At 47.5% G+C, this 16,365-nt stretch overlaps 1 long non-coding RNA gene across 1 annotated transcript in view; it reads left to right on the top strand.

Annotated features, from left to right (window-relative positions):
* The window catches only part of LINC01389 (long intergenic non-protein coding RNA 1389), a 56,522-nt gene that overhangs the window by 24,940 nt on the left and 15,217 nt on the right, over positions 1 to 16,365 (top strand). The window contains exons 2-3 of the long non-coding RNA NR_126355.1: positions 2,477 to 2,696; positions 3,903 to 4,058. This is a non-coding gene — a long non-coding RNA (long intergenic non-protein coding RNA 1389). The remainder of the gene's footprint in view (positions 1 to 2,476; positions 2,697 to 3,902; positions 4,059 to 16,365) is intronic.

Here is a 16,365-nt window from a genome sequence, read left to right as displayed (position 1 = left end):
GCCTTGAGGCAAGGAACATGGGGTAGGGGCCAGGGCTTCCCAACTACTCTGCCTAGGAGAGAGGGCTGAGGCAGAAAGCCCTTTCAGGTCCTTGGCCCAAGATACCCATCCTCATGATTGCCCTTCAGAGCTCTGAGAAGAAAGAGCCATGTTAACTCTGTGAGTGCCCAAGGGACCAGCCTGAGGCTCCTGAAGGCTTCCTGGAATGTTCCTCAAACACCTCTAGTTTGAGGCCATCCCAGAGTCATTTATTTCTAAAGCCCTCCATCACAGCTTCCACCAATCTCAGAGCCCAGAGGCTGCAGAAGGGGCTCTGGAGCCAAGGAAATCTCAGATTCCCCAACACCATCTCTTGCCACTCAGAGGTCCTGAAGGCTGCCGCAGGGCTTCCTCCCTCTTAGGCCCAAAACTAGAGCTGCCCAGGATACTGCTTGTTTCTCAGAAGCCCGAGGCAGGCAGTTGCCCGCTGGCTGGGCTCTGGCAAGGCCTTTTCTGACCAGGCTGCTCCTGAACTAGGGATGACAGCCACAGCCCCATCCTTACCAGCAGGGTCTGACTCCAGAGGGCCTGAGCCAGGCTCAGGAAAGGTAGCAAGTACAGTCCTGACTCTGGAGAGAGCATCAGGGAATAACCCAGGAGGAGGATGCCCCCTTTGTGATTCTTTATTCCTCATGCTCTTTTCATTCAGCAAATTCCAGTCATCTGTGTCCAGGCTGCCCTGGGTGCTGGATCCTATGGTGAGTCAGACTGTTCTCTGCCTTCACTGTGCTCAGGAGGAAGCAGCCCCTGAACTTCCCCCATAAAAGGTCGTTGGTGTATGGTGTGGGTAGAGCAGGGACTGCAGGAAGAAGAGACCTCACCCTGTCTGGCTAAGTGGGGAATGCATCCCAGAAGGGGTAAAGCTCCAGACGGCCAAGTGAGGAAGGCCCCAGACTGGATTAGGGGCTCAATCTCTGTGGCTCCATAACATCTCCATCACTGCGTTTACCTTATCATGTTATAAGTGTTCCTTCGTGTGTCTGTCTGCCCCATTTGACTTTGTATGCACTGAGGGCACATACCATGTCTCACGCAACTTTGGATCCCTGGTACTTAGTATAGTGACTGGGAGAAGTTGATGAGTAATAAATATGTATCAGATGGGTGGAAGGTTGATGGCCGAATACCAGGTGGAGACAACCTTGGGTGCAAGATCTGAAGGCAAGTGTGTATTGTCCATTCTGGGATGTGCAAGACTTTTTAGGAAGTGTTTTTCTTAGAGTTACGCAAGTTATATGTGTGAAGTTCTTAGAACACTGCCTGGTACATATCAGTGCTGTGTAACTGTTAGCTGTTGTCGTTGCTACTATTATTCACTGTGGCTGGTGTAGACTGCCAAGGGACTGAGACAGGAATGTAAATGGGCTCAGATTGGAGATGACTTTGTGTGCTGGACCAAGTAGGACCTTTCTAGAGACAGGGAGTCTGAAATTTTTCCAGCCGGGGAGTGACATGATCAGATGTCTCATTTAGGTCACTCAGTCTATCAGGGGATGGGCTAGAGAGGGAAGAGGCTAGAGGCTAAGAGACCAGATAGAAGGCTGACCATGTGATGAGATGTGAACTAAGGCTGTGGCTCTGGGCCACATCGGACACTTCACTCCCCTTCACTCAAGACAGGGATGGAGAGAGAACATTCAGCCGTCCATCTCAGATGGTGGCTTAAACATTGACCTGTCACACCGTCCAGAAACTGGCCATCATCCTTTCCTTTCTCTCCCTCTCCAACCACCTCCAGTCACCAAGACCTGTTGGTTCTCAGAAAGTTCTGTTGAATCCATTCTCTTCACTGAAGACTGCAGCAGCCTCCTGGCTGGTCTCCCTGCCTCCTCCTCGGATTCCTTCACTCAGCAGCTAGAGCAACGCTTCATCTGTGGCCCCTGCTAAAACACCTCCAGTGGCTCCCTGTCACTCTCAGGGCTCAGGCCCCATCATCAGCATGGCTGGCAGGCACCACAGGACTGGCCAGTGAACCCCTCCTTCCTCATTTCTCACCGCCCTCCCTGTTCCCTGATTCCCTGCAACACACACATTCTATACTGAGCCAAGTAAGTGCCAAGTCTCCTCCCACTCTGCGTTTTTGCTAATCAAAATTACAACAACCCGACTGGCCAGCTTTAGATACAAATACTGTCTCATGTATTTGTCTAACTAGCCCTTCCATCTCCAAGACCTTTATAGCAATAAGTCTCATCTTTCCCTCTGAAAAACTCCATTTCCACATTGTCAAACAAATAAGCAAATGAAAACCCAGAGAGTTTTCCCATCCAAAGGTAGAGAGGGAACCAGTTACTTCTCCCACTGCACCCTCTGCCAGCAGGGCCCTTTCTTCCCTGATCTGCCTGGTGTAATCCTGCTTGTCCCTTGAGAACCACTCACAGAAGATAACCATTTCATCTGCTAGAAAACATTTCCCAATTTCTTGCTCCTTCTCCAGGCAAAAGGCCTGCTGGCACCTCTGGCCTGACCGTACCCAGAGACTGGATCACATGCTCCTGCTCCATGCCTGCCTCCCCAGCGGAATGGAAGCAATTCCTCCTTGGACCCTATGATAGGCTGCAGAGGGGCACGGCTCAGTGAGCATTTGTTGAGTGCCTGACTGACTACCCTGCTGAATGAATAAGTGAATGAATGAATGACCACACCTGTCTGGAAAGGTAAAAGGTCCATGTGCTGGCTTCCAGCTAGGAATCTGCCTCCTGCCCTCACTGCCGCTGCTCAGCTCTGTGGCCCTGGGCCAAGACCCCCCATGCGGGCCTTGCTTCAGCAGGGTCCAGGCTCAGCTCTGGCTCCAACAATGCTGGCTCAGCCCTGAGGGTGTAATTCCAGCCGCTCCTAAACCACACACAAGGCATCTGAAGTATGTTCCGTGTCATTTCGAACTGTCAGCGTTCTGACATCCACCTCGCCCCCGCACCCTAGGCAATCTCAGTGCTCTCAGGCCTTCCTGCTTCTCATTTCCAGGGAAGCCGAAGGGGAGTGGTGCTGTCAGCAGGCTGCCAGAGCCAAGGGAACCCAAGCTGGAGAAGAATGAGTTTGAATCCACCATTCATGTGCTATGTGACCCAATGCAAGTTACACACCTCCTGTGGCCCATGTTAGGGACATAAGCCCCTCATACTTGAAGGACTCTGAGATGATCTGGGCCGCTTAGCTAAAGGTATCTGGAAACCATGTGGCACCCAGTGCTGTCTGTAAACTACATGCACAGTGTGTCTCTCACATACAGTCTGAATGTTTTTCAAATGGATGTAGATGCTGCTGTGATTGATAAATACAACCACATTTAAAAGTTTGGCAGTTATTTTTTTGTCATGATTTTTGGTCCATCAGTGGATACTAAAAGCACAACTGCTATCACATGAGGTAACTGGGAGGTGTTTTTTTAATCCCCATTCTTAAACTATTGCTAGAATCCAATATCTCTTCTTTACAGTTTTGGACATGCAGGTCCAGAAAGGGGAGAGGCTTGTCTAAAGTCCTGAAGCAAGTCAGTGCAAAGCCTAGGACTGTAACCACACTGCACTCACCCCTTCCTCCAGCCCCCACCCAGCTCTTTCTTCTCTGCATTTATTCAACAATATTTATTCAGCACCTGATTTGTGGCAGACTATGCTAGGCACCAGGGAGCCAAAAATGAAGACCAAGGATTCTTACTCTCAGGAGCTGACATCTGGGGGAGGGTGGTGGTTATGCAGGGAGGGACACATTAAACAGATTTTTCCTAAGTGTTAAGAGAAGCCATTGAAGAACCTCAGTGAGAAAGTGGTATAAAGCTCCTGTTGATTGAAGAACTTGAGTGAGAAAGTGGTAATAACTCGGCAAGCTGCTCATATGTGTCTGGCCTCTCCACTTGCTCTTAGCTCCTGAGGGCAAAGCCTGGGCCTCATCCTCTTGTGGATCCAGGAGAGCAGTCGCTGAAGAGAAAGAGGAAGAAAAGGAGTGGCTAGAAAAGAAAGTTTATTTCCACTGCAGGAAGCACTGCCTCCCATCTGAGAAATGTCCCAAGCAGGAATCAGGTAATAAGACTCTGAAAAATCATCTGGCTGGGTGACCGGGGGCAATCATCTTGACCATCAGGAGCATCAGTTTCTCCTTTAGAGAACTGGGAGAGGATGTTTTTGTTCTTTAGCAACATTCACCTCCCACAAAATGTTAAGTCTCTATCACCTCAGAAAAGCCCCAGCGTGGGGGCTAAATGGGGAGGGGTTAAGAAGAGAGAGGGAGGAAAGGGAGATATGGGTAGCTAGAAAGACAAGGACTGGTGATTTGGAGCCAGTTCCAACTGGCTTGTGAGACTATGCATCTCATCCCAACACTGCTTTTGGTGACATCATGGTCGTAGTTTGAAATTGGCCACAGTGGGAGTATTTACACCACAGAAATTGACAAATGCTACCAATCAGAGTGCCCCCCACCAGCCAGAAATCTAGCTGTTAAACATTCACCAGCCCGCCACTTGGCAAGACGGCAATGATTAAAATAATAAAGATCAGACAAGACTGAGACTCCCATCTGGCTCAGTGAGCAAGCTCCAGGAAGGGAAGGTCTAGCAGGTGGAGCCACCAGGGAGAGGGGGCATACACATTTACTTCTCCTCTCCCTGGGACTCCTTAGGCTCACACTCACGGACCTCAGTGTCTGTGCCAAGCACTAGGCCAGAGTCTTACATAATTTATGTAATCCTTTAAGCAGCTCTGTGAATCAGGCCTGACTCTCCCTATTATATCCTGACTTCTAAAGGAGACATATGATTTGATTCAGTAATTCCCCTTCTAGGAATTCATCCTGAAGGGATGTGCCGAGTAATGTATGTTCAAAGATGCTCATCACTGTGTTATTTATCATAGAGGAAAAATTGAACCTAATATCCCTAGGTAAGTTTGGATCTATTCCTTGGAACATTAGGAGAACGTTAAAAGAGCTATTTTTGAGGAATTTTTAATGAAGCAAGAAAATGTTCATGATATAATATTAACTATAAAAAGGGTATAAGTTATACAGCATGATTCCAATGTTCATACACATATATATTCACACATACACACATACATGTACATCAAAAAAGAAAATACACTAAAATATCAACAGTTTTATCTCTGGGTGATGGATTTGGGGTGATTTTTATTGTTTATCTTCTTAGGAATTTAAACTATGAACATTATTCACCATGTTGTGCTCTTGTGACACATGCACTTTGCTATATATATGTTAATACTTCAACAGATTTTTAAAATATATCCATAGTTAATATACAAAAAGCCAATAACAATGCTTGCTTCGGGCCGGGCACGGTGGCTCATGCCTGTGATCTCAGCACTTTGGGAGGCCGAGGCGGATGGATCACAAGGTCAGGAGTTCAAGACCAGCCTGGCCAACATAGTGAAACCTCGTCTCTACTAAAAATACAAAAATAAGCTGGGCATGGTGGCGCACACCTGCAGTCCCAGCTACTCGGGAGGCTGAGGCAGGAGAATCACTTGAACCCGGGAGGCACAGGTTGCAGTGAGTCGAGATCGCACCACTGCACTCCAGCTTGGGCGACAGAGCAAGACTTTGTCCCAAAAAAAAACAAAAAACAAAAAACAATGGTTGCTTCATGAGGAGAGAACTGTGTGGCTATGAAACAGGAAGGAGAGGGAGACTTTAACTCTTTACTATTTGCATCTTTTGAATTTGGAATCATGTGAATTACGTAACCTACTCAAAAATTATTTAATTACAATTTCAAAAAAAAAAAACTACAAGAATGCATACATCCTCTAACTAGGAAAAAATGTTAATTTCAAAAACCATCCCCAATTTACAGATGAGAGAACAGAAGGTCACAGCTGTGGAAGGAGCCCAGAGTTACCCAGCTAGAAGATGGCTCCAATGCAGTACATATCCAGATATAGCAATTCCTGAGTGTGTTTGAAGAATTAAGTTTGCAAATTACTGCCTCCCTACAGACACATTACCATTTCATAGATGCAAAAACTGAGAACACCCAAATTTAGAACGCACCTCCCTCACCACTTTCCCCACTCCGAGCCTAGCACCTCTTCTCTCACCACCCCACCAGGCCAACAGGCATAGTCTCTACAACAGTCTGTTAAGGCAAGGATCACCTAGACTGTCCCTGTGAGGCCCAGGGAGGACAGTCACTCACCCCAAGCCCCTCAGCGGTGCATATATCTCTCAAAAGACTGTAATTCAAGAAAGAGTCCAGAACCTCGGGCGGGAGGAAGGAAGGGCCCTCCCAGAGGCAGGGAGCAACATCTGGAACGGTTTGTGCCTTTGGAGCAGGCGTGCAGTCATTAGTAGGGCTTTGGCATGTTAGGGGCAATAACTGCATATTTTCTCTAGGGTGCATTGTGAGCCTCCTTTGCTCAAAATGTAATGAGTATGTCTCCTATCAGGGGAGGAGGGATGTTTGCACTCCTCCCTGGCCTGCCTGGGCTGCTCTCCTGCCTTCTGGTTGGCCTTAGGCTCACCCGCCTTCCTGTTTTTAGAAGCGTCAGACAGCCCTAGACCAGCCGCTAGATGTCACAGCCAGTTTGGCTTCCCTGATAGGACCTGGGACCAGTGGGGCACCCTGATGGAGAAAGAATCATTTGCTCCAGTGTTCCTCTGTGGTCAAGAGCCACTTCTTTTCATCTATCTGCACTCAAAGACTCCACCCAGGGGATTTTCCAAGCTTAAAAAATGGAGAAGTATTTTGTTGTTGTTGTTCCCTGGAAGTTTCATGGGGGAAAAATACAAATAAGTTCAAGAAGAGTAGAGATGAACCTGCAGCTTCCTCTCTTGTGTCCCTTCCCCTCCCACCCAGGCTGTTGCTTTCTGTCATTCTCCTTTGGGCCCTTACAAAGGTAGGTTCTTCCGCTTGTAATACCTTTCCTTTTCTCTCTGTGCTCACCCCTGTCTGAAAAACTCAGCCATCTTCTCCAGGAAGCCTTCCAAGCAGGGATAAGTCCTCTGATTTCCCCACAGTGCCTGTGCTTCTCTCTGTCACAGCCATCATCACCCACGGTACTGAATCCTTTCTTACCTTTCTCCCCAACCTAACTATATGAGTCTTGAGAACTGGAGAAGTGATTGTTTCTCTAGCAAGATTGCCAGTGTCCAGCATAGGGCCAGGGACAGAATAACATGCACAGTAAATGCCAAGTAACTGATTGACTAATTGACTGAATGAATAAATGAACAAATACGGTAATAAAGTGTCAGAGATGAAAGAGGACAGGATGGGACCCCATCATCTTACAGCTAAGGAAACCGAGGCTTAGAGAAAGGGAGAAGGTATCATCAGGAAGGAATTGACAGAATACCAACTCAAACTAACTTAAGAAAAATGTTGGCCGGGCACAGTGGCTCACACCTGTAATCCCAGCACTTTGGGAGGCGAAGGTGGGCGGATCACCTGAGGTCAGGAGTTCAAGACTAGCCTGACCAACATGGAGAAACCCCATCTGTACTAAAAATACAAAATTAGCCGAGCGTGGCGGCATGCACCTGTAATCCCAGCTACTCAGGAGGCTGAGGCAGGAGAATCGCTTGAACCCAGGAGGCGGAGGTTGCGGTGAGCCAAGATCGTGCCGTTGCACTCCAGCCTGGGTGACAGAGCAAAACTCCGTCTCAAAAAAAAAAAAAAAAGAAAAAAAGAAAAGAAAAAGAAAGAAAAGAAAAATGTAGTGAGGAAATGTATTGGCTCATAAATCAGGGCAAGGATGAAACTGGACTTCAAAATGTGTGAAACCCAGTGTTTGAAAGTCCTCTTCATGTCATCTTCACTCTCAGAGGCCACTTTCTTTACAAGGTTGGGGTCTGGCTGTTGGCAGTAACAAGCCCCTCTCCTTAGAGTTCTGCAAATGAAGATACAAGAGCTGCGGTTGAAACAAGGCCCCAGAGAAGGATTCTGAGTGGCCCAATGTGGACCCATGCTCACCCCTTGACAAAACACTGTGGAGTATGGCAGCTCCCAACTAGAGGAGGAGCAATTCTCCCAAACACGTGGGAATCATAGCTATGACCCTTGGGGAAACCACTGTGAGCGGGACAGCCACCCAATTTAAATCTACTAGGGTCACCAGCATTTCTTGAATAACTCTGTACTCAACCCATGTTAGATATTTTCATACCCATTGTCTTACAATAACTCTGTGAGTTAGATATCATTACTCCCATTTTACAGATGAGAAAACTGAAGTTCAGAGGCGGTAAGTAATTGGGCCAAAGTCCTGGAGAGTTATGGAACCCAACAGGACACTTAGTCCCATCCTCCTCTGTGTACAGATGAAGAAACTGCAGCCCCAAGATGGTAGAGACTTGCCTGAAGTCGCAGAGTAGGTCAGTAGGATAGTCTAGGAATTAGAAGTCGTATGAGCATTTTGTCACACTATATTATACGTGTGTAATGGGCATCTTTGGGATATCTGCTCTGCTCCTATTTCCCTTCTTTCAGAACAGCCCACTCACCAATCCACATGACTATGAGAAATGACCCCCAGAGGTGTAGCCTAGCAGCCATGTTTGTTTTATGTGACCCCATGCCACTACCCAAAGCTGATTGGGCCAGGGTTGGACATGTGGTTCCGTTACACCAGTCGCCTCCTCTCTTGGGAATTTGGAGATTGTTTTTACATGGCTGGACCTGTCAGGTGCTGTCAGCAGTCATGTTTTCCTCCATGTGATCTGATTGGTGGAGAAGGTCAGTCCGGGAAGAGAAAAGAGCACAGAGGCAGGGAGAAACTCCCATTTCCTGGGCTCCTGAGAGCTTTCCCAAGTCTGGGCCAAGTCCTTTTATGTGTTTGGTTCCTTTAGACTTCCAGTTCCCTTGTAATCACTTCCCCTTTCTTTGTCTGAATTGATTCTAGTGGATTTCTTATGAAAATAGCATCCTAAGATAGCATGTAGCAAAGTACCTTTACTAGAAAGGGTGCTGTTGTGTGAAACCATATCGGTACTTCAGCCATCTGAGATGATCAGATGAGGAGGCCAGTGTGGGCCAGAGTGGTTGGGAAGGCTTCTCTGTAGCAAGCAGGACCGCTGTGTCCTTGAGGTGATGCAAGGGAGGCTGACTTGAAGGAGCTGAATGTGCGGCCAGGCAGGGAGGTGAAGCAGTAAACAAGAAAGAGTTCTTCTGGTCAAAGCCATCCAAGGTGTCAAGTGTGTATAGGGAGGGACTGGGAGGCATTAACTCATGGAGGGGTGTCCCAGGGGTGGTTACAAACCAAATCATTACAGTGAAAGCAGTTATGTCCCCACCATATGCTCTAGCCTGACCCTGACATCAGAGGCTTTGCCATTTCCTGAACTTGTACCACACTATCCCACCTTTGTGCCTTTCTTCATGCAGTTCTATCTGCCTAGGAGCCCTTCCATCCTACCTCAGCCCAGATCAAAGTCTGCCTAATCCCTAAAGCCTTGCCCTAGCCCAAAGGGAAAATAAGCTCTCTTCTTTCAGGTTCCCACTATCGCGTAGTTTATATTATAATTACCTGTGCACGTACCTGTTTCCCCCACTAGAATGTGAGCCCTGAGGCCAGAACTCTGATCTGATTCATCTGCTTCTCTATTGCCTAAAGCTAGGGCTGGCCCCTGCATAGGTGAAAATTTGCTCAATGCCTGAGTGTGTCCACTGTCCATGCTAACCATGGGAAAAAGTAATATACTTGCTGCCTCCTTATCAACCTCCTACCCCACCTATCAATAAGTAAAGAGAGAAAGATTTGAGGAGCCGGGAGTCCATCCTCCCATGGTGGGGGGTGGAGTTGGGAGCTGTGTGTGGCTCTGCATGTGTGTTACATGTGTGTATGTGTATGTATGGGTATGTGCAGGAGCTCTCTCTAGGTTGTAGTCAAGGAGGGCTTCCCCCAGAGGGAGGCCATGGGCAGAACCACAGGGCCTAGCTGTGTCTGCCACCCCCTGCTCCAACTCTTCATTCTAGTGGCATGGTCTTATATGCCAACAGGCATCAGGCCTGGAGGCTGATGGGAGATTTAGTTAATTGCAACAAAGCCAAGCGTCCTGGGGCACAGTAGAGATCAGTCTAATCTGTCAAATTATGCCCCTTAAAGATCCTGTTAACCTTTGTTAACCTGCAGTTGTACATTTAGGATGATTAGATGCTTCCCTTTCTCATACAGCTCTTCATGCTTACACAGGGCCAGGAGAGAGAACGGAGTGGCCAGGTAAAAGGAGGCTGGATGTTAAAAGGTTTGACGAAGAAGAAGGGAGCAGAAAATGAGCTGGCACTTATTGAATATCTGCAGGTTCCAGCTCTGACAAACATTTCACTTGTACCTCCCAACCAGCCTAGGAGCTAGTTATCGCTTCTTTATCTTAGAGATAAGGAAGCAAGTACTCCAGCGCCAAGGTGGCTTGCTCCAGAGCACATATCTTGAACATGGCACAGTGGGCACTTGACCCCGTTTGCAGATGGTTGCCCTCTGCCTGGAGTCCCATCACCTTTAAAGGGCCTAGAAGTCACAATCTGAGCTTCTCCAGCATCTTTTCCTCCCAGAGCTTTGTGGCTCCAAACCCTCATCACCCTAAACTCCAATCCTCTCACAAGCAGCTCTTCAGAGTAACTCACAACAGTGTTCCTGGCTACAGTCAGACCACTGTCATTACACCTGCTACTTCCCTACCTAGCATTTATCAACATGCATCATTCAGTTGCTCAGTCCTGTGGGTGACTGTCTGATGTCTGCTTCTACTGTCAGACCACAAGTTCCTTGAGGGCGTGGGCTTTATATTTTTCATTGCTCTATCCTCATTAGTTCATTCACTGAACAAACATTTATTGCCCACTATGTGACAGACATTGTACTAGGTGTTTGGGATACAACAGAGAGAGAGACGACAGAAAATCCCTGCCCTCTGGAGTTTGACCCCTAGAAGAGAGAAATAGACATTAAGCAAGATAAATAAGCAAATTTTGCAGTGTATTGTTTTGGATGGTCATAAGCAATATGGACAGAAATAAAGTAGGAGAGTATACTAGAGAAGGAGGGGGTCCAATTTTATGTAGGAAAGTCAGAAAGGGCTTTGGAAGAGGTTAGAGAGGGAGCCATGTAGATACACACAAAAAGCATTCCAGGCAGTGGGAATACAGTGGGATAGTACTAAGGTGTGGAGGCGGGAGAGGATCTGGTGTTTTCCAGGAACAGCAAGGAGACCCGTGTGGCTTGAGCAGAGTGAGCGAAGGGCAGGACATGAGAGTCCTGCGGAGCACTGTAAGGGTTATGCCTTTACTCTGATTTGGGAAGGCACTGGAGAGTGACAGAGGAGTAACATGATCTGGTTTAGGTTTTCAAAGGATCATTCTGCCTACTGTGTTAAGAATTGATAGTCAAGCTGGGTACAGTGGCTCACGCCTGTAATCCCAGCACTTTGGGAGGCTGATGCTGGAGAAGTGCTTGAGCTTAGGAACAGCCTGGGCAACATAGTGAAACCCCATCTCTACAAAGAATTTAAAAATTAGCTGGGCATGAGAGACTGAGGCAGGAGGATCGCTTGAGCCTAGGGGTTCAAGGCTGCAGTGAACTATGATCATGCCACTGCACTCAGCCTCGGTGACAGAGTGAGACCCCATCTCTTTTAAAAAATGGAAAAAAATATAATTGATAGTCTCTGATGCACATTAGGTATTTAATAGTTTTGAATAAATGAATGAATTGCACGTAGGAGAGTGACAGGAAAGAAAGAAAGAAATTGCTATGGAGGGAAGATAAACCCAGAGGACACTTATAACCTTGATGCCCAGTGATCTGAGTCTAGTTTTAAGGAGCTGAAAGAGGACAGATTTCTGCTGAGCAGAGCGTGAATCTTCTAGCTGTCCTTGTATCTCAGTAAATGTCCCAGGAGATCTAAACTCCTCGTCATGGAAGATGTACAAGTCAGGACAGGATGGCCTCAGGAAAACCTATAAGCTATGGCTTTCTACAGCTAGGAATAGCCTGTGTCCCCCAACCTCCCCTCCAGTCTTTTACCTCAGATTTTGTAAGTGATAGGACTCAGAGATGTTTCTGTCTCCTGCTAAAGGACCTCCACCTGACCTTCAGAGTTGTGAGTCTTCTTGGTACATGACAGAGGAGACCCAGGAAGCAGGCCTGCAAGGACACCTTGGCTGTGGAGCATTAGGAACAATATTTGGCTGGGACCGGGAGGCTATCCAGGGTAGCGGGCACTCTGTGGCCAGAGTTCTGGATTACAGGGAGCCAAGGCCAAGGCAGACCAGAAATTCCCTGCCTTGATTTTTGCCTCTAATTCCTCCCAGAAATGAGGCGTGTCCGTCTTCAAACTCTCGGGTTTTTATGAGGCGATTATGGTGATTACTGTAAATCTCCTGTGTGTTGTTTTCAAAGGGGTAATTAAGTGGAGGAATCAGCCACCATTTTCATTTCTCATTAAGTGATTAGGGTTTGTTTGGCAAATCCTAGCATCTGTGGCTAGAGGCAGGCTCTGCTGAGCTTGACTTGGACCATTCACTGCCTACACACAAGCTAAGCATCCAGCACCTCCCTTCTGCCCTGGCTTCTCCTAACCTGAATGAATTAGAAGGAATCCTTTCATTGTGCAGATGAGGAAACTGAGGCACAGAATGCGAAACTGACTCAGCAATATTATACCACACTAGAGCCAGGTTCTGCCTCCCAGAGCAGAACTCTAGTCAGCACACCATGCTGTCTATCTAAAGAAGGAGCTTTCAATAGACTTGTTGCCACTGAGGCAGCTTTGCTTCTGGAAGTAGGGAAGGCTCCTTCTTGAGCCTTGGATCATTTTCTCACCTAACTCTTTTTTCTCCTAGAGCCACCACATCAACAAGTATGGCAGACACTGTTGGTTGTCCACCCAACAATCATTTCCCTCTTCCTTTTCCTTTGCCCATTTCTCTTGGTTAGGAGAGGGTACAACCCAATTCTGGCCAATGAGATATGCAGAGATAATACTGGGGGACTTCTGGGTTAAGATTTTCCTCCCTCTTAAAGTCACTCAAGGAGAAAGCCTTTGCTCTGTACTCACTTCTGCTTTTAGATATGGTTGTTTGAAGTGATGCTTGGAGGCCAGGTGCAGTGGCTTATGCTTGTAATCCCAGCACTTTGGGAGGCCGAGGTGGGTGCATCACCTGAGGTCAGGCGTTCAAGACCAGCCTGATCAACATGGTGAAACCCCATCTCTACTAAAAATACAAAATTAGCCGGGTGTGGTGGCAGGTGCCTATAGTCCCAGCTACTCGGGAAGCTGAGATAGGAGAATCACTTGAACCTGGGAGGCGGAGGTTGCAGTGAGCTGAGATTGTGCCACTGCACTCCAGCCTGGGCAACAGAGTGAGACTCTGTCTCAAAAAAAAAAAAAAAAAAGAAAGAAAGAAAAAAAAAGAAATGATGCTTGGAGCTGAAGCAGCCATCTTGTAACTTGAGGCAACAGGCTAGAAGAAGAAAGCCAATTGTTTTAATTATCTATTACTGCTTTACAAATCACCCCCAAAATTTGGTACCTTAAAACAATTTATTATTATCTTTCACTGTTCTGTGGGTTGACTGGGCTCAACTGGACGGGTCCTACATGAGGGCTGTCATGTTCTTGCAGCCTGACCAAGACTTATTTAAAGACTCTGCTGGGCTGGATGTCCAAGATGGCTCACGCACATTGCTGGCAGTTGATGCTGGATATCCCCTAGGAGTTCATCCAGAGCTCTTGACCAGGGCACCGCCTTATGGCTCAGGTGTCTCACAGCATGGCAGCTGGTTTTCAAGGGCAAGTGTTTTCAGACTGAGACTTTTAAGAAGCCCAGACAGTTGCTGCAAGACTTATGACCTAACCTTGAAAGTTCGAAATGTCATTTCCTCCACCTTCTATTGGTTAAGCTAGTCACTAAGGCTAGCCCAGATTCAAAGGAAAGAGAATTAGACTGTACCTGTTGATGAGGGAATGGCAAGGTCACACTGCGGAAGAGCAAGTGGCGTGGGAGATATTGTTGTGTCCAAGTATTACATTGGGTAAGTACAATCTGCCATGCCTATATCCTTGGGATAATGATATAGTAAGATGGAAAGAGCTGTTACCTCTAAGTTACTGCACCATCTCTAGAAGGACTTCTTGTTAAGTAAACAAATAATATCCTAAAGGTTTAAGCCAGCCGGGGGTGGTGGCTCATGCCTGGAATCCCAGCACTTTGGGAGGCCGAGGCGAGCAGATCACGAGGTCAGGAGATCAAGACCATCCTGGCTAACATGATGGAACCCCATCTCTACTAAAAATACAAAAAATTAGCCAGGCGTGGTGGCAGGCGCCTGTAGTCCCAGCTACTTGGGAGGCTGAGGCAGGAGAATGGCGGGAACCCGGGAGGCAGAGCTTGCAGTGAACCAAGATCGCACCACTGCACTCCAGCCCGGGCGACAGAGCGAGACTCTGTCTCAAAAATAAAAAAAAAATGTTTAAGCCATTGGAGTTCGGTTTTCTGTGAAAGTTTGGTGCGGGAGCCAAACATGATTGGAGAAGGCCTTCTGGAGGAGGCAGGACTTAAACTGCACATTTCAAGACCGTTTCACATTCTTAGACTTGGACATCAGATACTCCTAGGTTTGAGCTCTATTTCTGCAATTATGACTATCTGTGTGGCTCTGAGTAAGTTAGCCTCTCTGAGCTTCAGTTTCCTCATTTGTAAAATAAGGATAATAGTACCTGCCTGTGATGTCATTCAGATGATTAAATGAGGTGATACATAGTAAAAGCTTAGCATGAGGTCTGACATATAAGTGATCTGCAAATGTCATTTATCATTATTTTATCACGTTATTAATTGAGATGAGGAAGAGGAGTCCAATGAGGTCATTGTTGGAATATTGAGGGGAGGTGTCAGGAAAGCACTTTGTGAGGGACACAGCAACCCCAGCTCCCATTTATGGGGCTACAGGCAGAGCTGGGGGACCGGTGAGGGAGGCTGTAGAAGGGCTTCTGCCCTGGGAGAAGCTGGACTGTCCTTTACAGCTCAGTGATGGGGAAGAGGTGGGAGTGAGTCTATAATTTGGGGGTGGGGCAGAGGGGTCTAGTTGGGACCCTGGCAAGTTAGCTTAGAGCAGCCAACAAGGCCCCAAACCTTTCTCTATGGAAACCAGCCTGAAGTTGAAGGGAGGGAAAGGCCAGCAGAGAAGCCCTCTGCAGGTAGGTTGACCAACTCATCCCCATATGCCTACAACTTTCTGGGTTTAGCATTGAAGATCTTATGTTCTGGGAAACCCCTCAGTCCTGCGCAAACCAGGCTGGTTGGTTAGGTTCTGTCGGCTGGAGATCCTCTAGGTAGGGACCTCTAGGAGGCCTGGTGTCCCAGTCTTGGGGATATCACATAGGCCCATGGGTCTGCCCCATGGAGCTATCTCCAGGGCAACCAGGCTTTACATCTCATAGGTCAGGGGCCGCAAAAGCCCCTCAGTGACCACAGACTGCATGTCAGGGTCTGGGGACAGAGTGTAGTGCTGAGTAAAACAGCTTCTCTCCAGAAACTGTCTCAGCCCTTTGGGAGAGTCAGTCTTGTGTTATCACCAGCAAGTAACATGGTACCAATTTAGAGGCTCAAAACATATAAGAACTGCATTCATGCCTGAGATCTGTCTTCACCAAACCAAGCCTAGTACTGAAATCGCACCGTTCACACTTCATTTGTTAGGTTTGAACCAATTCGGACTGTGTTCCCAGAAGCTTTCACCTGTCATGCATCCTCAGGGTAAAGGAGTCCACAGTGCTTTCCTGAGGAGGAGAGAACCTTGGAAACCCCCTAACCCTGGGGTTAAGGGTGGAGGGAGCCATAATGAGAGGCCTGAGACACTTTGAGGACCTCACAACTGGGTCAGTGTGGTACTGACTGGGGGCAAGAGTGAGCTTGAGTTGGCATGTCATGACCAGAGGTGATAAACTGATCACTTGTTTTATACCCTTGTCTCTTAAGGGCCTTCTAAAATGACTGTTAAGGAATAAAAAGAATATAAACCCACAACAATAAAGATAATGGGTGAGGTAACCTCAGTAGACAAGATATTTCAACAAATTTCAGGACAATAAAAAGCAAATGGGCCAGGTGCAGTGGCTCACACCTGTAATCCCAACACTTTGGGAGGCTGAGGTGGGAGGATCGCTTGAGCCTAGGAGTTCAAGACCAGCCTGGGCAATATGGTGAGACCTCATCTCTACCAAAAAATAAAAATACAAAATACAAAAATTAGCCTGGCATGGTGGTGCACACCGGTAGTCCTCGGTACTCAGGAGGCTGAGGTGGGAGGATCGCTTGAGTCCAGAAGGCAGAGGCTGCAGTGAGCCAAGACTGTGCCACTAAACCCCAGCCAG

This window comes from Homo sapiens, chromosome 1 (genome assembly GCF_000001405.40).
Source record: "Homo sapiens chromosome 1, GRCh38.p14 Primary Assembly".
Classification (NCBI taxonomy): Eukaryota; Metazoa; Chordata; class Mammalia; order Primates; family Hominidae; genus Homo; species Homo sapiens.
Note: the sequence above shows the minus strand (reverse complement) of the source record. Positions and strands in the feature narration are given on the sequence as shown.